This window comes from Homo sapiens, chromosome 12, assembly GCF_000001405.40.
Source record: "Homo sapiens chromosome 12, GRCh38.p14 Primary Assembly".
In the NCBI taxonomy this organism is placed as follows: Eukaryota; Metazoa; Chordata; class Mammalia; order Primates; family Hominidae; genus Homo; species Homo sapiens.
Genome location: NC_000012.12, coordinates 123,476,275 through 123,498,235, shown reverse-complemented (window position 1 = coordinate 123,498,235; position 21,961 = coordinate 123,476,275). Strand labels below are relative to the sequence as shown.

Sequence of the window (21,961 nt, the reverse complement as noted above, 5' to 3'; positions counted from 1 at the left end):
AAAAAAAAAAGAGAGAGAGAGAGAGAGAAAAAACGAGAGGCTCAGAGAGAACAAGCTACTGGCCTGAGGACACACAGCTGAGGGGTTGGAACCCCAGACTCCCAGCATTCTCCCATCTCAGTGATGGTTATTAGGCACCTGCCATTTATTTATTCATTCATACCAATGATTGTTGACTGTGTAGCCGGCCCAGAGGATAAAATAGCGAGCAAAATACAGACATGATCCCTGTCCACATGGAGCTTACAGTTTAGTATGGGAGGCAGACATTAGTTAGTCCAGACCTTAATCATTAATCACACAGTACCATATGACCCAGCAATTCCACTCCTAGGCACATATCCAAAAGAATTGAGAGCAGGTGTTCAAACTTTTACATGAAGGCCAGGTGTGGTCACCTGCACTTGTAATCCCAGCCCTTTGAGAGGCTGAGGCAAGGGGATCAAGAAGATCACTTGAGGCCAGGAGCTCAAGACTGGCCTGGGCAACATAGCGAGGTCCTATCTCTACAAAAAATTCTTTAAAAATTAAAAACTTGCTTTTGGGCTGGGTATGGTGGCTCACACCTGTAATCCCAGCACTTTGGGAGGCTGAGGTGGGCAGATGACTTGAGGTCAGGAGTTCAGGATCAGCCTGGCCAACATGGTAAAACCCCGTCTCTACTAAAAAAAAATACAAAATTAGCTGGGTGTGGTGGTGGGCATCTGTTATCCCAGCTACTTGGGAGGCTGAGGCAGGAGAATTGCTTGAACCTCGGAGGCAGAGGTTGCAGTGAGCTGAGATTGCACCACCGCACTCCAGCCTGGGCAACAGAGTGAGTCAGACCCCATCTCAAAAAACAAAAAAAGAAAATCTTAGGTATGGTGGCATATGCCTGTAGTCCCAGTTACTTGGGAAGATGAGGCAGGAGGATCACTTGAGCCCAGGAGTTTGAGGATGCAGTGAGCCATGATTGAGCCATTGCTCTCCAGCCTGGGCAACAGAGTGAGACCCTATAGCAGCACTATTCACAGTCGCCAAAAGGTGGAAACAACCCACATGTCCATCAGCAGATGAATGGGTGAACAGTGGTCTCTCCATACAGGGGGATATGATTCAGCTCTAAAGAGGAATGCAGCCCTGGCCACGCGGCAGCACGGATGAGCTGCAAAAACATCACGCGGAGTGAAAGAAGCCAGGCCCAAAAGGCCAGTGTGTGACTCCATTTGCACGAAATGTCCCAGAACAGGCAAATCCATAGAGCCAGAAAGTAGACTGGTGTCCGAATGGGGCTGGGGGAGGGAGGAATGGGGAGTGACTGCCGATGGGCATGGAGTTCCCTTTGGGGACGATGGAAATGATCCGGAATTAGAGAGCGGTGATGGTCGCACAACACTGTGCATGTTACTGTCCGCGTGGCCAGAGCTGTCCATCACAGCTGCAGCTAACATCCAGGTAGGCCCAGGGCTACAAAGTGGGCACTAGCGGTGTCTGTTCCTTAAATGTGCCCCCAGACTGTGCCAGGAACACAGAGGGTGAGATCGTTCATCCTGGCAGAGGTGGGGAGGTGGGGTTTCAGGGAAGAGCTGTTCCTGAAGCCGGGCGTCAGTGTTAACAATGCTGAGACTTTGACAGATAGAAATGTGGACAATGGAGATGCTGTTTCAGAAAAGTATAGTGAACTTTAGGGACACACTCAGGCTTGTGTTTTCTCCCAGCAGATGTTTATGAGCTGTTGAAAGTTTGCAGACGCTGCACTAGTAACCTGAGTTACAGGTAGGGGAGGTAGGACAGACAAGCTCACAGTCAGGTGGGTTCAAGTCCCAGTAGTCATTAGGTATCCTGTGAATTTGGTAGTTACTTCCAGGTTTGCTGTAGGACAGGACAGGCATCTGGGATACAAATGAGGAAGGTCAGGGAGAGAAGTCTTAAAAGGGAGTAGTTGCCAGGCATGGTGGCTCACACCTGTAATCCCAGCACTTTGGGAGACCGAGGCAGGCAGATCACTTGAGGTCAGGAGTTCGAGACCAGCCTGGCCAATATGGTGAAGCCCCATCTCTACTAAAAATACAAAAATTAGCTGGGCGTGGTGGTGCACACCTGTAGTCCCAATTACTTTGGGGGGCTGGGACAGGAGAATTGCTTGAACCCGGGACGTGGAGGTTGTGGTGAACTGAGATCACGCCACTGCACTCCAGCCTGGGCGACAGGGGTGAGACTCTGTCTCAAAAAAAGAAAAAAGAAAAAAAAAGGAGTGGTTAAGGGCTGCTTTTGGCTAAAAATGACATAAGCCTAAGTTAAAATGGTTTAAGAGTTGGGAGGCCAAGGCAGGCCGATTTCCTGAGCTCAGGAGTTCAAGACCAGCCTGGCTAACGTGGCGAAACCCCGTCTCTACTAAAATACAAAAAATTAGCCAGGCATGGTGGTGTGCGCCTGTAGTCCCAGCTACTCGGGAGGCTGAGGCAGAAGAATTGCTTGAACCCAGGAGGCGGAGGTTGCCGTTAGCTGAGATCGCACCACTGCACTCCAGCCTGGGCAACGGAGCGAGACTCTGTCTCAAAAAAAAAAAAAAAAAAAAACTGGGGCCAGGTGCGGTGGCTCACGCCTGTAATCCCAGCACTTTGGGAGGCCAAGGCAGGCGGATCACAAGGTCAGGAGATTGAACCCATCCTGGCTAACATGGTGAAACCCCATCTCTACTAAAAATACAAAAAATTATCCAGGCATGGTGGTGGACACCTGTAGTCCCAGCTACTCGGGAGGCTGAGGCAGGAGAATGGCGTGAACCCAGGAGGCGAAGCTTGCAGTGAGCCGAGATCGCACCACTGCACTCCAGCCTGGGTGACAGAGTGAGACTCTGTCTCAAAAAAAAAAAAAAAAATGTTTAAGAGGGAAAAAACGAATTTATTGACTGTGTAACTAAAAGCTCTTAGGGGTAGCTTCAGGTACAGCTGGCTCCAGGTGTTCATGAGCTGCTCTCAGGAATGTGGCTCCGACCTTCTCAGGCCCTGCTTTCCTCTGTGCTGTTGTCATTCTCAGCCAGGCTCTTGCCTACAGTTGCCACTAGTATTTGACCAGCATAGCAACCCCAGTCAAAAGAAATGGCCTCTTTCCCTAGAGTCCCAGCAAAAGCCTCAGGAAATCCTCATTGGCCTATCACCGAAACAACTACTGTGGCCAGAGACCTAGAATATGCATGTTTATTCCTGAGTCACATGGCTGCGACTCAAGCCACATGGACTAAAAGTGGGAGGGAGGTCTTTCTCCAGAAGAAAACGGCAGTGACTTAGCGCAAAGACCTGAGGGAAGGATAAAGGCCAGGCAGAGACAACAGCTGTCGTCTGCAGTGCTGGGGAGTCGGCACCCAGGGACCACACAGAGCTCTGAGTAGTAGGGGTGCGGGTCCCTCGCAGGGGTTCAGCAGGCGAGCGATACACTCAGCTGTTTCACTGGAGGACAGGGAAGGAGCTTGTGGCAGACATGGTTGGCAGGAGCCCTTTGCAATAACCCAGGTGAGAATGTGAGGGCTGAACTCAATCTATGACAGTGGGAAGGAAGCTGGTGCCAAAGACAACCTCCAGGCTGAGGGTGGTGCGGTCGCCACCTCTGCCCTGCTCCCTGCTCCTAGTGTGCCCCTTCCAACCTTCAGGCCCCACGGGAGCTCAGGCTGGTCTCCTGGCCAGGCAGGGCCTGGCCCACACCGGGGTCTCAAGAACATCGAGACTCCCAGCGCTGTTCCAGGACTCTTGAGCAGCAAGGGACATTTCACACCACCTTGGCGCGACTGCCTGTCAGTTTCAGCTTCCCTGTCTGGCAGCCAATGGGGCAGGGAAGAGAGGAGGGAGTAAAATCAGGCTGCGGTAATGTGAACCCTCCAGGCTGCTTTGCAGTGCGCTTTCCCAGGCTCGGGGCAGCTTTGCTGGGTTCGCATCTATCCCTTGGAGCTCTGTGAGTTCAGGATGCCTGTCAGTCACACAGGGGAGCTGCAGGTTGTGGTGGTTTCATCACTTGCTGCTGTGTGACCTAGGCCTGTCCATCTCTTTGGTGGTCAATTTCGTCATCTGACAAGTGAGGGGAATGAGCTTGACTCAGTAGGTTCACTGTTTCGCGCAGCTGGGAGAGAGGAGTATAAGATCAGGGGAGGGCTTGGTGAAGTCAAGAGGCAGGGACAGGGCCAGGCGCAGTGGCCCACACCTGTAATCCCAGCACTTGGGGAGGCCAAGGCGGGTGGATCACCTGAGGTCAGGAGTTTGAGACTAGCCTGGGCAACATGATGAAACCCCCGTCTCTACTAAATATACAAAAAAAGCCAGGCGTGGTGGTGGGTGCCTGTAATCCCAGCTACTCAGGAGGCGAAGGCAGGAGAATCGCTTGAACCCGGGAGGTGGAGGTTGCATTGAGCCGAGATCAAGCCACTGCACTCCAGCCTGGACGACAGAGCAAGACTTCATCTCAAAAAAAAAAAAAAAAAAGAGGCAGGGCCTCAGGACAGATCTTGAAGGCATCGGGCCGGGTCCTGTGTCCCAGGGTGGACTATGGACAGGCCATTCCAGGCAGAGGGAACAGTGAGCTAGGCCGGAGAACGTGCAGCATGTGGCTGGGGTCAGGGGTTTGTCCCAGGGCAGGATTTGGAGGACATGAGAGCTATGGAGGGTTGCAGAGCTAGAAAGGAATCTGTCTCATTGAAGGGGTGGGTTGCCCCTCCACACCTGTGGGTGTTTCTCATAAGGTGGAACGAGAGACTTGGAAAAGAAAAAGACACAGAGACAAAGTATAGAGAAAGAAATAAGGGGACCCAGGGAACCAGTGTTCAGCATATGGAGGATCCCGCCAGCCTCTGAGTTCCTTTAGTATTTATTGATCATTCGTGGGTGTTTCTCCGAGAGGGGGATGTGTCAGGGTCACAAGACAATAGTGGGGAGAGGGTCAGCAGACAAACACGTGAACAAAGGTCTTTGCATCATAGACAAGGTAAAGAATCAAGTGCTGTGCTTTTAGATATGCATACACATAAACATCTCAATGCTTTACAAAGCAGTATTGCTGCCCGCATGTCCCACCTCCAGCCTTAAGGCGGTTTTTCCCTATCTCAGTAGATGGAACGTACAATCGGGTTTTATACCGAGACATTCCATTGCCCAGGGACAGGCAGGAGACAGATGCCTTCCTCTTGTCTCAACTGCAAGAGGCATGCCTTCCTCTTTTACTAATCCTCCTCAGCACAGACCCTTTACAGGTGTCGGGCTGGGGGACAGTCAGGTCTTTCCCTTCCCATGAGGCCATATTTCAGACTATCACATGGGGAGAAACCTTGGACAATACGTGGCTTTCCTAGGCAGAAGTCCCTGTGGCCTTCCGCAGTGTTTGTGTCTCTGGGAGCATGCTGCCTTCAAGCATCTGTTTAAACAAAGCACATCTTGCACCGCCCTTAATCCATTTAACCCTGAGTGGACACAGCACATGTTTCAGAGAGCACGGGGTTGGGGGTAAGTCATAGATTAACAGAATCTCAAGGCAGAAGAATTTTTCTTAGTACAGAACAAAATGGAGTCTCCTATGTCTACTTCTTTCTACACAGACACAGTAACAATCTGATCTCTGTTCCTTTCCCCACATCTCATCATTGCCATGCAGTTCTTTCTAAGCTGTGTCACTGTCATTGCAGTGTGATCACCAGGAGACAAGGCTCTTTCTATTTTTATAACTTCCTTATTGAGATGTAATTCATATGCCATGCACTTCAGCTATTGTGTCCTCATCACCACTGTCCAGAACATTCCCATCACCCCCATCAGAAATCCCTGCTCCTGCGGTAGCTGCCTCCTCCCTTCCCCAGCCCCTGGCCACCAGCAGGCTGTTTCCCTCTGTGTATTTACCTGTTCGGGACATGGCATCAGTGGGATCCTACAACATGTGGTCCTGCCTGGCTTCTTTAACTTAGCATGTTTTCTTGTTAATCCAGGTTCTCATATTTCAACTCAAGGTTTCCTGCCTTTCACAGATTATATGTATATATATATATTTTTTTTTCTTCTTTTTTTTTGAGACAGGGTCTCAGGCCGGGGTGCAGTGGCACAATCTCAGTTCACTGCAACCTCCACCTCCCGGGTTCAAGCCACCATGATAGGCTAATTTTTGTATTTTTAGTAGAGACAGGGTTTCCCCATGTTGGTCAGGCTGGTCTTGAACTCCTGACCTCAAATGATCTGCCTGCCTCTATTTTATTTTATTTTATTTATTTATTTATTTTGAGTCAGGGTCTCACTCCATCACCCAGGCTGGAGTGCAATGGCACGATCTTGGCTCACCACAACCTCCGCCTCCTGGGTTCAAGCAATTCTTGTGCCTCAGCCTCCCGAGTAGCTGGGATTACAGGTGTGCGCCACCACACCCAGCTCATTTTTGTGTATTTTTAGTAGAGACAGGGTTTTACCATGTTGCCCAGGCTGATCTCGAACTCTTGACCTCAAATGATCCGCCTGCTTCGGCCTCCTGCTGGGATTACAGGTGTGAGCCACCGCGCCCAGCCACACGTTTTGATTTCGTAGCAGGTTTTGTTTTTGTTTTGTAAAGTGCGGGCTGCCTGCATAGGGAAAGCAGACAGGCGTATGCTGGCTGAAAGGCGGGCAGAATTTATGCATTGAATTTATGCTAGGCCTGGTGGTGCCAAGTGTGACCAGAGCACAGTCGTTCCCCATTGCTGGGCCAGGGGCTGCTGAGAAGTACTGTGAAGGGGCTGCCGTGGGAGGGCAGGGTGCTTTGAGGCACCCAGGCAGTGAGGAGCATTCCTAAGGCCTCGGGATGGAGGCCCTGACCCAGGATGCTGCCTCCCTAAGGCCTCTGGGCAGCCTCGTGGCTTGTTAGTTGGTCTCTTGGGCCTTCCTGGGAAGCAGCTGAGGCCTCAGGGTATCGCTCTGAAGCTGTGCCCAGAGTACCTCCAGGGATCAGCAGACAACCCACAAAAGGCCCCAGCTTATCTCAGCTAACCCGAGCCACCTCCCGGTCCCGCATGGAGTAAGCCTAGGAGGACCACGGCAGATGGAGCTCGATTGCCATCTTGGAAAGAGCCTCCTTGGTCCCTCCCAGTCTGAACCGGATAGTCCTGGGCTGCCCGTGGCCCTGCGGTCACTGCCTGGTGGCCTCTCGAGAAGCTGGAGCCCAGGGCTGTCCTTCTGCCTGTACTTTCAGGCAATAGTATTAGAAGTCAGGGCGGGCATGGTGGCTCACGCCTGTAATCCCAACACTTTGGGAGGCTGAGGCAGGCGGATCACCTGAGGTCAGGAGTTTAAGACCAGCCTGGCCAACATGGCGAAAGCCCATCTCTACTAAAAATACAAAATTAGCCAGGCATGGTGGCGCATGCCTGTACTCCCAGCTACTTGAGAGGCTGAGGCAGGAGAATCACTTGAACCCAGGAAGCAGAGGTTGCGGTGAGCTGAGATCATGCCATTGCACTCTAGCCTGGGCAACAAGAGCAAAACTCTGTCTCAAAAAAAAAAAAAAAAAGTCAGGACTTTGGGGCCAGACACAATGGCTCACGCCTGTAATCCCAGCACTTTGGGAGGCTGAGCCAGGAGGATTGTTTAAGCCCGGGAGTCCGAAACCAGCCTGGGCAACAAAGTGAGACCCCATCTCTAATGAAATATAAATAAAATTAAAAAAAAAAGAGAGTAAGGACTTTTGCATACCTTGCTGGGATTTCCCCAAACTCTAAAGGAATCAGGCCATTCCTCCCCAAAAATGAACTGTCCCTTCTCCAGAAAAAAAAGAACTCAGGTTCTAAGGAAGCCCTTCAATGTCTTGGGCAGTTAAAACCCAATAGGGGTGAGCAGAAAATTCCTGTGGCTTTGAAAGTGTGTGTTCACAGAAATCCCCAGGTACCTGGGTGGGAAGGGCCCTTGGAAATATTTCTGGGTTATCAAGGGCTAGATGGGGAGATGAAAGCCCAGACATAGGGGCGGGTGGCTTTGCCCAGAGGCCTCTCGAGAGGTGGGGGTTTGGGAGTTCCTTTGAAGGGCTTTGCTCTTTCCCCAGGGTGTGGGGACGGCTGTCAGATGGTCCCTCCCAGAGACACAGGAGAGGCAAGGCCCTGACCTGCTATGAAAGGCAGGACCCGAGCTGTCTGAGGAGGAAGGGACTGGAGGGAGCTTGGGGTTCGGGTCCATAGCAGGGGCCACTGCTGCCTGCAGGGTCCAGGCAGGAGAAGGAGAAAGGGGATGGAAAAGGGAGCAGCTGCTGCTCGGAAACAGCCCAGCGTTGCCAGTGGGGCCTGATCTTCCAGCGCACTTTCCACAGGAAGCCCAAAATGCAAACTTCAATATGAAATCTCCTAATCTTAAAGAGTTCGCAGCTAATTCAACAGAGTTTTAGAACACAGTGAAGGCCAAACAAAATGTGGGCCAGCAGCACTGGGATGGTCTAAGAGCTTAGTTTGCAACCTCTGATCTATACTACTAATGCCCAGAGTTCCTGGTGAACTCCTACATATTCGTCAAGACCCCATGCATAGAGACCACATCTGATTAACATCTTCCCTGATTCTCTCCAGTTAGATCTTGTGTCTGTGCACTATTTTTTTTTTTTTTAAGATGGAGTCTTACTCTGTCGCTCTGTCGCCCAGGCTGGAGTACAGTGGCACCGTGTCAGCTCACTGTAACCTCCATCTCCTGGGTTCAAGCAATTCTCCTGCCTCAGCCTCCCGAGCAGCTGGGATTACAGGTGCCCACCACCATGCCTGACTAATTTTTGTGTTTTTTAGTAGAGACGGGGTTTCACCATGTTGGCCAGGCTGGTCTCGATCTCCTGACTTCGTGATCCACCCACCTCAGCTTCCCAAAGTGCTGAGATTACAGGCGTGAGCCACTGTGCCTGGCCGCCCAGCTAATTTTTGTATTTTCAGTAGAGATAGCGTTTCACCATGTTGTCCAGGCTGGTCTCGAACTCCTGACTTCAGGTGATCCGCCTGCCTCAGCCTCCCAAAGTACTGGGATTACAGGTGTGAGCCACCACACCTGGCCTTAAGCTTCTATTTATGTGTATCTTCTCTTCAGCCCCATCTGTCTGACTCTGTTCCCAGGGCTGAGCTCCACGGCCAGCAAGGCACAAAGTTAGCTCTCAGTAAATGTTGGATAACTAGACATCCAGGGTTGCTCCTTGGTGAAGCTGGGCCAGGGAAAGAGGAGAACTGGCGCGATTGAATGCCGGCCGCATATCCGTCACCTGTTGTATGTGGTCTTGGGTGGAGACATGGAGTGTGTGGCTGCCGGGTGGTTCCGGAGCATCCCTGGAGGCGCTGCAGAGGAGATCGGACATTGAAGATGTCCTCTGAGGACACAGCCCACCTAAATTGTGGCATCAGCAGACGCCTAGAATACTTTCTTTGGAAATTAAATCCTCCAACATTTCCTCCCCTTGTTCTTGGGTGGGAAGAAGCCCCTCAGCTGCCCAGACAGCTTGCGAGGGCGGCCGGGGTCAGATTTCAGTTTCCCACTGCATGGAGGCCCCTCCTCTGCTGCCCCGTGCTGACTCCGACCCCAAGGCTGGGCAGGGTCAGCTTGCTCCCCCAACCTGGGCCTGCTGTGTGTGGCTCTGCTGTCACCTGACGTGCCCCAGCAGTGGGTGTTGTCTCCTTTCACACGTCCTTTCCCAGAACAGCCGGTTCCAGCCTCCCACAGGGTGTGAAGCCTCTCGGCTCTGCCTTCTGGAATCCCTCAGCCTCCTGTCCAGGGCACATTCAGGCTGGAGTTAGTCCCCTTCTCCCTGTGCTGCTATGGGGTTTTTCTTCTTCTTCTTCTTTTTTTTTTTTTTTTTTTGAGACAGGGTCTCACTTTGTTGGAGACACTGCCTTAAGTGCAGTGGCACAGTCTTGGCTCACTGCAGCCTCCACTTCCTGGGCTCAGGTGATCCTCATGCCTCAGCCTCCTATGTAACTGGGACTACAGGGGCAAGCCACCATGCCCAGTTAATTTTCTTTTCTTTTTTGTAGACATGAGGTCTTGCTATGTTGCCCGGGCTGGTCTGAATCTCCTGGGTTCTAGTGATCCTCCTGCCTCAGCCTCCCAAAGTGCTAGAATTAGGAGTGTGAGCCACGGTGCCGGGCCTATGGAGTTTTTCTTGAGGTTGGGAAGGACGTCTGTTTCCTCTCCCTTTCCCTGTTCTGGAGCTTTTTCACTGCTGTCCTGACCTCTGTCTACTCCTGGTTGGTCACGGGACATTGGTGGCTCAGGAGTGTTGGGGACACTCCATTCCTTTGAGAGTGTGGGCTACCTGTAGATTGACTGGCTGACTTGCAAAAGCTTCCTTGTGATTAAGAAAAAAAAGGAAAATAACTGTTGGCAAGAATATAGAGAAATTGGAACCCTTGTGCATTGCTGGTGGGAATGTAAAATAGAGCAGCTGCCGTGGGAAACGGTTTGACAACTCCTCAACAAGTTAAACACAGAATTAGCCCATGACCCAGCAATCCCACTCCCAGGTATACAACCAGAAGAACTGAAAACAAGTGTCCACACTAATACAGTTCTTAGCATTGCTATTCACATTAGCCAAAGAGTGGAAACCACTCTGATGTCCGTCAGCTGAAGAATGGATAAACACACTGTGGTACATCTGTACAGTGGAATATGGCTCAGCCATCAAAAGGAGTGAAGTGAGCTGGCGGGGTGGCCCACCCCTGTAATCCCAGCACTTTGGGAGGCTGAGGTGGGTGGATCACCTGAGGACGGGAGTTCAAGACCAGCCTGACCAACATGGTAAAACCCCGTCTCTACAAAAATACAAAACTTAGCCCGGGCATGATGGCGGGTGCCTGTATTCCCAGCTAGCTACTCGGGAGGCTGAGGCGGAAGAATCGCTTGAACCCAGGAGGCAGAGGTTGAAGTGAGCTGAGATCGTGCCATTGCACTCCAGCCTGGGTGACAGAGTGAGATGCCATCTCAAAAAAAAAAAGAGTGAAGTGCTGGTGTGTGCTGCAACGTGGATGAACCTTGGAAACACCGTGCTAAGTGAAAGGAGCCAGGCACAAAAGGCCACTTAATGTATGATTCTGTTTCTGGGAAATGTCCATGGTAGGCAGTCCATAGACAGAAACTACATTGGCATTTGCCAAGGGCTCAGGATAGGGAAGTAGAGAGTGACTGCTTAATAAGTACAGGTTTTCAGCCGGGTGCGGTGGCTCACACCTGTAATCCCAGCACTTTGGGAGGCAAAGGCGGGTGGATCACTTGAGGTCAGGAGTTCAAGACCAGTCTGGCCAACATGGTGAAACCCTGTCTCTACTAAAAATACAAAAATTAGCCAGGCATAATGGCAGGCGCCTGTAATCCCAGGTACTCAGGAGGCTGAGGCAGGAGGATGGCTTGAACCCGGGTGGTGGAGTTTGCAGTGAGCTGAGATCGTGCCACTGCACTCCAGCCTGGGTGACAGAGAGATTCCGTCTCAAAAAAAAAAAAATTGCCGGGTGTGGCGGTACACACCTGTAATCCCAGCTACTCGGGAGGCTGAGGCACAAGAATCGCTTGAAGCCAAGGAGTGGAGGTTGCAGTGAGCTGAGATCATGCCATTGCACTCCAGCCTGGGTGACAGTGAAACTCCATCTCAGAAAAAAATAAAATAATAAGTATGGGTTTTCCTTTTGGTATGAAGAAAATGTTCTAGAACTGGACAGAGGTGGTGGTTGTGTGACATGTGAGTTTACTAAATGTCACTTCCAAATTGTTCACTTTTAAAAGGTTCAAATGGTAAATTTTAGATGATGTATATTTTACCACATTTTTCTAAAAAGGCTCCCTCGCTATGCAAGAAGGTGAGAGGATGGGTGTGGGTGTGACCTGGGGCAGGTGACTTAGCATGATGCTGGGATCTGTTGGTCACCCGCATCACAGAGAAATGGCCGAGTGTGCACCCCCGCCGGGCTTCCACTGAACTCCAGATACTCAAAGCCACTGGGGAGGAGAGGACCTAACCAGAAGGCCCATAACAACAGGGAAAATGGATATGACTTACTGTCAAATGAAAAAGGAATGGAGAATTGTGTGTAGGCTGAGATTCCAGCCACTCTGGCCAAATTAGCAATGGTCTTAGTAAGGAGATGAAAGGAGGCCTGGAAAGGGGGAAGCAGCAGATGTACGAGGGTGGGGGCAGGGGAGGTGTGACAGCTCCTCCCTGGATGCCTTGTCATGTTTGTAATGAAACCCCAAGTCGGGTGGGGAGGTGCGGGGTCCGTGGGTTCGGCTATTGGGAAGGCGAACAATGAACAGGTGGCTGCTGGCTTCCACCTCCAGAGGGAAACTGTACAGAACGTGAGCAAGGGCCGCCTGCGAGTGCTGAAAATAGCACCCTCCACAGGCTGCTGGCACCCCGGGAGGGGGAGAATTTGGGCTCCTTCAGGATAGAGAGTGGGTGCTGGCAGTGGCTGCCAAGAATTCATTAGCAGCATCTCTGCCTCCTCCAGACGGAGCCGGTGGGAGAGGAGAGCATCTCCGACGCAGAGAAGGTGGCCATGGATCTCAAGGACCCCAACCGCCCCCGGTTCACCCTGCAGGAGCTGCGGGACGTGCTGCACGAGAGGAACGAGCTCAAGTCCAAGGTGTTCTTGCTGCAGGAGGAGCTGGCTTACTATAAGAGGCAAGTGTCCCTGGGGCTGGATGGCCCGAGCTGGCTCCTTACTGAGGTTAGCCAGAGTTTCTGTACAGTTACCTTCTTACCCCCTGGAAGACAAGCATTTCATCAGTGTTTTTTTTGGGTACCCTCTCTGGCCTAAAGAACTTACATACAAGCTCACAACCCCTTTCTGAAACTCTTGGGCCCAGGCCGGGCACCAGAGCTCACACCTTTAATTCCAGTATTTTGGGAGGCCGAGGCGGGAAGATTGCTTGATCCCAGGCATTCGAGACTAGCCTGGGCAACAAAGCGAGACCTCATCTCTTTTTTTAAATGAATGAATGAATGAAACCCGGCCCCGGTGTTAATGGTCTATGTGGCCCTTTTCACCTCCTACATTATCCTGTTCACTCTCATGCTTGCTTTATTGTAGGTTTCCACATGAGACCACAAGCAACATGAGACCAGAAGTCTTATTTATCTTGTCCATGGCTAAGTTCCCAGCACTTAGAATGGAGCTTGGCACACAGTAGGTGCACAACAAATATCTGTTGAATAGAAAGCTGGAAGGAAGGACCCATGCACCAGAGGTGGTCCCTGCTCCAGTGGGGAAGATAAGAGATGCATAAAAAATATAATACCACACATTTTTATTGAAAGGTTTACTGACTGTATACTGGATGTTCAAAGATGGGAGAGGCCGGGCGCGGTGGCTCATGCCTGTCATCCCAGCACTTTGCGAGGCCGAGGCAGGCGGATCACTTGAACCCAGGACTCGAAACCAGCCTGGGCAACATAGTGGGACCCCCATCTCTACACAAAAATTTTTAAAAATTAGCCAGGTATGGTGGCTCACCCTGTAGTCCCAGCCACTTGGGAGGCTGAAGCAGGAGGATCATTTCAGCCCAAGGTCAAGGCTGCAGTGAGCTATGTATGTTTGTACCACTGCACTCGAGCCTGGGCAACAGAATGAGACCCTGTCTCAAAAAAAAAAAAAAAAAAAAAAGATGGGAGAGTGGGAGAGATCACTTCTTCGAGTTTGTGGATGGGGTGGAAATCGGAAGGCCTCCTGGAGGAAGCAGCATTTGAACTGGGCCTTCCTGAAAGGATAGGGTAGTATTTAGATATGGGAGATGTTGAGGAGTGACAGGTATATTCTGGGTAGAAGAAACCACAGAGGTGTAGCGACAGGGAAGCCTGTGTAAGGACAGGAAACGGGGAGTGGTTCTATTTGGCTGGACTCTTCAGAATAAACTGGAAATACAGATGCGGGTCCCCTAAAAAGCATGCACCCTCTCAGACCATCAGACACTTCTCTTCTGGAATGTTCCAGTTCTCAAGGAACTTTTGACTCTTTTATCTCACGCCTCTCATCTCCTTCCAGTGAAGAAATGGAAGAGGAAAACCGAATACCCCAACCCCCACCCATCGCCCACCCGAGGACGTCCCCCCAGCCGGAGTCGGGCATCAAGCGACTGTAAGTGATGCGCTGCCAGCTTCTGCGCTCGGCTGACCTGGCGGTTCACGTGTCCTTTGACTTTTCCTCCTTGGCACCTGCTCCCAGGGCCAGGCTTGTGACTAACCACATCCTGCTGAGACGTCTGGCCTGGCCCCCGACTTTGAGTTCATCTCCCTTCCTGAATGCTGAGTCCCTCCTGGGGGTCTCTGGGCAGAGAGGTTTGGGGAGTGCGGGAGGCGAGAGGGGAGAGGCTTGGGCCAGTGGCTGATACTCAGGAGCTTGCTGGAGTGTGTTTCATGGGGGTGGGGTGCATCTCTGGGCCTTTGAGGACAGGAAATAAGGGTAGCGAGGTAGGGGTGGGTTGTGCATCTGAAGCTTGAGACCTCAGCTCTGAGATGTCAGGTGGCCCTGGGTCCACCCCATCTATGCAGTTCTCTGATGACTCATCCATGTAGCCCTCTGTCCATTAAGCAGGGGTTACTGCATAACGCATGCAGAGTCAGGCCTTGGTTGCTGCAGGAGAACCCCGCAAAAAAGAGTGACCTAGTCCCTGCCCTCAACTAGACTTTAAGCTACTTCAGTGGTTCTTGGCATCAACAGATTCCTTTGAGGTTGTGATAAAACCTCCTGAAATTTCCCCCAGAGAAATCTGTAAAATTTGTGAACAATTTCAGGAGGTTCATGGACCTCTAAGACTCTTCAGATAAAGGGTTAACACCTCTGGTTTTGTTAGACAGTATCTACTAAGAAGCTAACACGTGCTGGGTCCTGTTCCCACAGAATATCTCATTGAGTCCTCAGCATGGTGTTGTGGGGTGGAAGCATCATCATTCCCATTTTATAGTTAAGGAAACAGAGGCACCTGCCTAGGGTCATTCAGCTAATAAGAGGCAGAACCAGGGCTCAAACCCAGGTAGCCTGGCCCCAGAGCCCACACTGTGAGCTCTCTGCAAGACAGCCTTGTGCTTGCAGTGTTGGAGCTGCATTCTCTCCCCTGAGACGGTCTTCCAGGCTCTGGGCCTGCCTTCCAGTTCTATCCAAGGCTTAGTACAGAAGAGGTTTCAGTTCTTTCCTCCAAAACCCACAAGAAACTTTGTGAAAACAGGGCGTGTGGGTTGGAAAGCCAGTCGGATCGTGTAGGGAGAGGAAGTGGAGTGTTACCCATATACCCCAACCTTTAAAATCCAGTTATGTTTGGAAATTCTTGGTTAGTTCTTGCCCTGTGAGTAGACAATGCAGAGCCGTGCAGGTTTGTCACTGCTGGGCCCTCTCCTCTTAGAAAATGGTGCCCTTGGGGCTGGGTGCGGTAGCTCACACCTGTAATCTCAGCATTTTGGGAGGCAGAGGTGGGAGGATCACTTGAGCTCAGGAGTTCAAGACCAACCTGGGCAACATGGTGAAACCACCTCTCTACAAAAAATACAAAAATTAGCTGGGTATGGTCCCAGCTACTTGGGAGGCTGAAGTGGGAGGATTGTTTGAGCCCAGGAGGTTGAGGCTTCAGTGAGCCAAGATTGTACCACTGCACTCCAGCTAGGGTGACAGAGCGAAACCCTGTCTCGAAAAAAAAAAAAAAAGAGAGAGAGAGAGGGATAAAAAAGAAAGAAAGAAAATGATGCCCTTTGCTGGGCATGGCAGCTCACATCTGTAATCCCAGCACTCTGAAAGGCCAAGGCAGAAGGATCACTTGAGGCCAGGAGTTTGAGACCAACCTGGGCCACGTAGTGAGACTCTGTCTCTACAAAAAAATTTAAAATTAGCCGGATATTGCTAGAGAGTACAGGCTGGTGCACGACTCCCTTCCAGCTTCATTCAGGCTGCTTAGGAGTTTGGCCCCAGGTCCCTGATGCACTGGGGAGGGAGTGTGGCCCCAGTTCTGGTTAGAGATAAACATTTCCTAGGGAAGACGCATGGCACCAGAAAAGCTTCCTCTAGATCCCAACACCATTTAGATCATGGATTCAGTAGTAACCTTCCATTTGCAATTGAAACTCAACTCAAAGTAACCTAAGAAAACGAATTTGGAGGCCAGGCGCAGTAGCTCACGCCTGTAATCCCAGCACTTTGGGAGGTCTAGGTGGGTGGATCATGAGGTCAGAAGTTCAAGACCAACCTGGCCAACATGGTGAAACCTCATTTCTACTAAAACTACAAAAATTAGCTGGGCGTGGTGGTCACATGCCTGTAGTCCCAGCTACTCAGGAGGCTGAGGCAGGAAAATTGCTTGAACCCGGGAGGCAGAGGTTGCAGTGAGCTGAGATTGTGCCATTGTACTCCAGCCTCTGAGCGACAGAGCGAGACTCCATCTCAAAAAAGAAAAAAGAAAACAAAACAAATTTGGGGCTGGGCTCGGTGGCTCAGGCTTGTAATCCCAGCACTTTGGGAGGCCGAGGCGAGTGGATCAGCTGAGGTCGGGAGTTTGAGACCAGCCTGACCAATACGGAGAAACCCCATCTCCACTAAAAATACAAAAATCAGCCGGGCGTGGTGGCACACACCTGTAATCCCAGCTACTTGGGAGGCTGAGGCAGGAGAATCGCTTGAACCTGGGAGACAGAGGTTGCAGTGAGCCAAGATCGTGCCATTGCACTCCAGTTTGGGCAACAAGAGTGAAACTCCGCCTCAAAAAAAAAAAAAAGAAAACAAATTTGGCTAAGGAACTAAAAGTTCCAACTTGCCACAGCGTGGGGCTCAGCTGGATCCAGGCCTTGTTTCCTCCACCCCTGGCTTGGTTTTCCTCTGTGGGCTCCATTCTTGGGTGTCCAGTCCAGCCTGAGGATGGCAGCATGGCAGCCCTTGGCTCAGGTTTCATTTTCTTTCTTTCTTTTTTTTTTTTTTTGAGAGGGAGTCTCACTCCATTGCCGAGGCTGGAGTGCAGTGGCACAATCTCAGCTCACTGCAGCCTCCACCTCCCGGGTTCAAGCAGTTCTCTCCTGTCTCAGCCTCCCGAGTAGCTGGGATTAGAGGCATCTGCCTCTACGCCCGGCTAAGTTTTGTAATTTTAGTAGAGACGGAGTTTCACCATGTTGGCCAGGCTGGTCTCTAACTCCTGACTTCAGGTGATCCACCCGCCTCGGCCTCCCAAAGTGCTGGGATTACAGGCGTGAGCCACCGCGCCCGGCCAGGTTTCATTTTCTTCTGTCTGAAACTCCAGTGCAGAGTCTCTGTTCCCAAGATTTCCATCAGTCACAGAAATGAGTCCCATTGGCTCCAGCTGGGTCACATGACTATCCCTAACCCAATCACAGGACAGCACATTGATCGTCCGGGTCTGTGACTCCTCACCCTTGACGCTCAGAGCACTTTTACCTCCATCCAGTTCAAGTGGCCTGAAAGTAGGGGAAGGGATGGGTCCCCAAGCAATATCAGAGTGCTAGATAGACAGAAATACGGGGTGCCCACGGTAGCCTCACGTTGGGAGGAGGAAGCCCTTCAGTCTTGATTCTCTGCAGTACTTAGTGCCCAGGAAGGGTTTCTCATGCAGTGCTTGGTAGGAAATGGGACTGGCTTTGCTTAAACTCCAACTCACTCGCCAGCCCCACTCCTATGTGAGGATGAGCAGAATCTATCTTGTATGCTTTGATAGCTACAGCTTTGAGTTTCAGGCCTGGAGAAACTGCAAGAAGCTTCATGAGCCCAGATAGTCTCTGCATGGGCTGAGGGAGGGGGAGATCAAGAGACTTGTGTTCTGCATCCTTCAGCCATTTGTTCCCAGGTCGTTAAGAATTAGCCTTTCAGGCCGGGCACGGTGGCTCAACCTGTAATCCCAGCACTTTGGGAGGCTGAGGCAGGTGGATCACAAGGTCAGGAGTTCGAGACCAGTGTGGCCTACATGGTGAAACCCCCATCTCTACTAAAAATACAAAAAAATTAGCCAGGTGTGGTGGTGGGCACCTGTAATCCCAGCTACTCAGGAGACTGAGGCAGGAAAATTGCTTGAACTCCAGAGGCGGAGGTTGCAGTGAGCCGAGATCACACCACTGCATTCGAGCCTGGACAACAGAGCGATACCCCATTTAAAAAAAAAAAAAAAAAAAAAGAATCAGCCTTTCTAGCACCTTCACTTTCACTTCCAATGTACTGCATTCAGAGCCTCCAGCACCCACGGTCATATGTAATTCTAAAAATTCCTTCCAGAGCCGAGTTTTTCTAACTGTAATTTTCTACTCTGGGCCCCTTTCTCTAAACAGACAATTAAGTTGGCTTTGCAAATTTCGTATTGGGTGAAATCCAGAGGAAAGTTATCAGAATTAGCCAACGAATCTTTCCACTAGTTCTTCTGCCCACACCTGAATAGGCTGTGGTGTCTGTCCTTCTTTTCCAGATTGTTCCAGAAAGGACGCTGGGGCCCTGTTTTCAGAGCTCTTCCCCACTTAGGTTGGCTTCTGGTTGCTCAGGAAAGTGTGGGGCTCTGAGCCGGGCAGGGACAGACTCAGAGAAAGACGAGAGAGCGAGACCAGAACCTCCCAGCCACAGGGTGCGGGTGACCAGTCCCGTGGCAGCCCCACTTGCTGGGGGATAACTGGGAGAGCAAACTGGCACAAAGGGCTTTTGACCAGTGCAGGCAGGACACTGGTCGCCTTTGTCCACCTCTACTGCTGGTTGGAAGCTGTACCAGAGCAGCCTGTGAGCCCAGAGGCTGGGAGGGGCCTGGGCAGGGACAGATCTTCCCTGGGCTGGCGCAGGGAATGACAGTTTCTGAGGCGGTTCTGAGCGTCCTTCCATCCTTCATTCCTCCTGCACCTACCTGGTCTGCTGGGTCTCTTCCGTCCTTCCTCCAGGGAGTATTAGCCATGCGGTCTGCTCAGGGCGGCTCTTCAGCTCTGCTTCCCACTGTTAACTGGTTTTTCCCACCCCTCCTCCTGCAGCAATTCACAGTCGCCAAGGAGTGTTCAGGGGCTTCGGCAGCTTAGAGTACTTGAACTAAAGTATCTTCCATCCTGTCAGGGACCCAGAGCTGGGATAATTATCCCCATTTCTCAGATGAGGGAACTGAGGCCCAGAGAAGCCCACTGACATTTAGATCAAACTGCTGGGAAGGCTGTCTTCAGATTTGAACCCATTCCTTTTCTGCTCCCACCCCCGCCACCATTTTCCCGCTCCCCTCCCCGAGTCTCTGGTGGTGGCCCCTTGTCTGCACAGTGCATCATGAGTCACAGGCGTCAGACTTCACATTTCTAGACTGAACCGGACAAGGGAACTGTTTTGCTGCCAGTCAAAACAGTGTGCCCGGAAGATGTTCCAAGAATAGTTTGTGATTGAGCAGCTGCTGTCCAGAGAGGCCAGGCTGGCACTGCCCAGGAAGGTCACGAGGGAGTGCTGGAGTGACTTCAGCCTCGTCCCCAGTGAACACCAGGCACCAGTGCCCCCTTTTGCGTGGTCCCTGTCTCTCAGTCATGGTCCCATGGACGCACACACAGTTGCCTTTTGCAGGGCGGGGGCTAGGGGCTGATCAGGAGATAAGAAGACAGGTGGGTATAGAGGGGGGACCGGGGAAGCAGGGGATGAGAACTGGCCTCGAGGACTGGAAAGGTTGGCTTTGGAGTGGGTGGCCACCCAGGTGTCCAGGGGTAGCAATGACAGTGCATTCTATCCCTGTCCTCCCACCCACCACCCCCCTCGCTCCAGCCCAGGAATAGCTTCTTCACAGCCGCCCATTACACTGCCTGAAATGCCACTGGTAGAACTTCATTTGGTTTGAGTCTTCCAGAAATATTTGGCGGGGAGCGGGGAGTTAAAACCAGCTACAGGATATTCAAGACAAACTTCGGGCCAAAACAAGTCAATCTTTTTATGGAAATAGCTGTACCTCTAGAGGAGATGGCTTCCGCAGGGCAGCCCCTGGAATAGTAAGGGAAGGGGCCATCCGCTCAGTGAGCACAGCAAGACACAGACAGGGCCAGGCGCGGTGGTTCATGCCTGTAATCCCAACACTTTGGGAGGCCGAGGTGGGGGGATCGCTTGAGGCCAGGAGTTTGAGATGAGCCTGGGCAACATAGCAAGACCCTATCTCGAGGAAAAAAATTTTTTTTAATTGGCCGGGCATGGTGGCACATGCTTGTAGTCCCAGCTACTAGGGAAGCTGAGGCAGGAAGATCACTTGAGCCCAGGAGGTCGCGGCTGCAGTGGGCCCAGATTGCACCACTGCACTCCAGCTGAGCAGCAAAGCGAGACCTGTCTCTGAAAAAAAAAAAAAAAAAAAAAAAAAAAGACATACAGATGGAGTAACTCAGTCAGAACACTCCAGGTGTCCCAGGCCCCCGAGCATTGGTCACCCCCTGAAAAGGCCCTAAATGAAGTCCAGCATTCCCAGTGGCAAACATCTCTTGAGGCAAAATGTCCCCCGTGTTTGAGGCCACTTCCCACACAATGACTGTATCTTTGTGGGCACCCTCTTTGGGTGTCCTGGCAAAGGTGGGTACAAAATGGTGTTGCTTGGAGCCCCTGGAAAGCTAACTGTGTCCGGTAGTCTGGCCTCTGGGGCCCATTCACTTAGCAGAAGGCATCTCATCTTCTCCATGTCATTGTGAGAAACCATCCAGGAGGTTCTGCAAAGACACCAACTCCTGGCCAGGCGTGGTGGTTCACTCCAGCACTTTGGGAGGCCAAGGCGGGTGGATCACTTGATGCCAGGAGTTCAAGACCAACCTGGCCAACACAGGGAAACCCCGTCTCTACTAAAAATACAAAAATTAGCCCAGCAGGGTGGTGCACGCCTGTAGTCCCAGCTACTGGGGAGGCTGAGGCAGGAGAATCACTTGAACCCAGGAGGTGGAGGTTGCAGTGAGCAGAGATTGTGCCACTACACTGCAGCCTGGGTGGCAAAGCGAGACTGTCTCAAAAAAAAAAAAAAAAAAAAAGAAAGAAAGAAAGAAAAGATACCAACTCCTAACTCCTAGCTACTCTGTGAAGCACATCAAAGGTAATCCAAACACCTGGAACATCGCCAAACCTCATTTGAGACAATTATTTTATCTTTATCCAACCAACTTTTTAAAAAAATTATAGCTTTTCAAAATAAGCTCTAGTGGCATGGTTGGAGTTTCATCTTCATTTCCTCTGCCCAGCTGAGAAACAGATGAGCATTTACTTACCGTGGGCTTAGACCAGAATATCTGATGATTCTGCAGCCTCTGCCTCAGCCCTCGTCCTGCCTGGCCCCTCTGCTTCAGTCTCTCCTGGTTCTCGCCTGGCGCTTAGGGTCATGGCGCCTGCAGCTCATCGCAGTTGGGGAGGACACTGAAAGGCCCCCTTGCCAGGGCATCACCACCACCTCCCACAGCGTATTTTGCCTTCTTCGTTCCCCACACACAGCCCTACATTTTAGCCCTGGGGAGCCACTCTGTCATCCCTCGTTGGCTGTCATATACTGCATCAGTTTCTAGAACTGCTGTAACAAAATACTGCAGACTCAGGGGCTTCAATAACAGTCAGGTATTGTCTCCCACTTCCGGAGGCCAGAAGGCCACGATAAAGGCGTCAGCAGGGTCAGCTCCTTCTTCGGACTGTAAGGGAGAATCTGCCCCACACCTCTCTCCATTTCTGGTGGCTGCTGGGGGTCTTTGGCAGTCCTTGGCCTGCAGAAGCCTCACCTCAGTATCCACTTCCACCTTCCTCACATGCCATCTCTGTCCAGATGTCCCCCTTTTATAAGGATACCAGTCATATTGGATTAGAACCCACCCTACTCCAGCATAACCTCATCTTAACTAGTTACATTTGTAAGGACCCTATTTCTTTTTTTCTTTTTTTTCTTGAGATGGAGTTTTGCTCTTGTTGCCCAGGCTGGAGTGCAATGGCGCGATCTCGGCTCACCGCAACCTCCACCTCCCAGGTTCAGGCGATTCTTCTGCCTCAGCCTCCCTAGTAGCAGGGATTACAGGCATGCGCCACCACGCCCGGCTAATTTTTGTATTTTTAGTA

At 51.4% G+C, this 21,961-nt stretch overlaps 1 protein-coding gene across 5 annotated transcripts in view, besides 1 other annotated feature; it reads left to right on the top strand.

Moving 5' to 3' along the window:
- Positions 1-21,961, top strand: part of RILPL1 (Rab interacting lysosomal protein like 1) — a 63,666-nt gene that overhangs the window by 35,484 nt on the left and 6,221 nt on the right. For all 5 annotated transcript variants that reach the window (NM_178314.5, NM_001319243.2, NM_001319302.2 and 2 more), the window contains 2 exons: positions 12,431-12,603; positions 13,964-14,056. In NM_178314.5, the coding sequence (NP_847884.2) occupies positions 12,431-12,603; positions 13,964-14,056 (266 nt within the window). The remainder of the gene's footprint in view (positions 1-12,430; positions 12,604-13,963; positions 14,057-21,961) is intronic.
- Positions 4,542-5,353: an enhancer, noted in NCBI's record as "NANOG-H3K27ac-H3K4me1 hESC enhancer chr12:123977430-123978241 (GRCh37/hg19 assembly coordinates)". NCBI's record gives its function as "activates a minimal SCP1, AML or CMV promoter by ChIP-STARR-seq in naive H9 embryonic stem cells {active_cell/tissue: H9 hESC(naive)}" and the evidence as "EXISTENCE:reporter gene assay evidence [ECO:0000049][PMID:30033119]".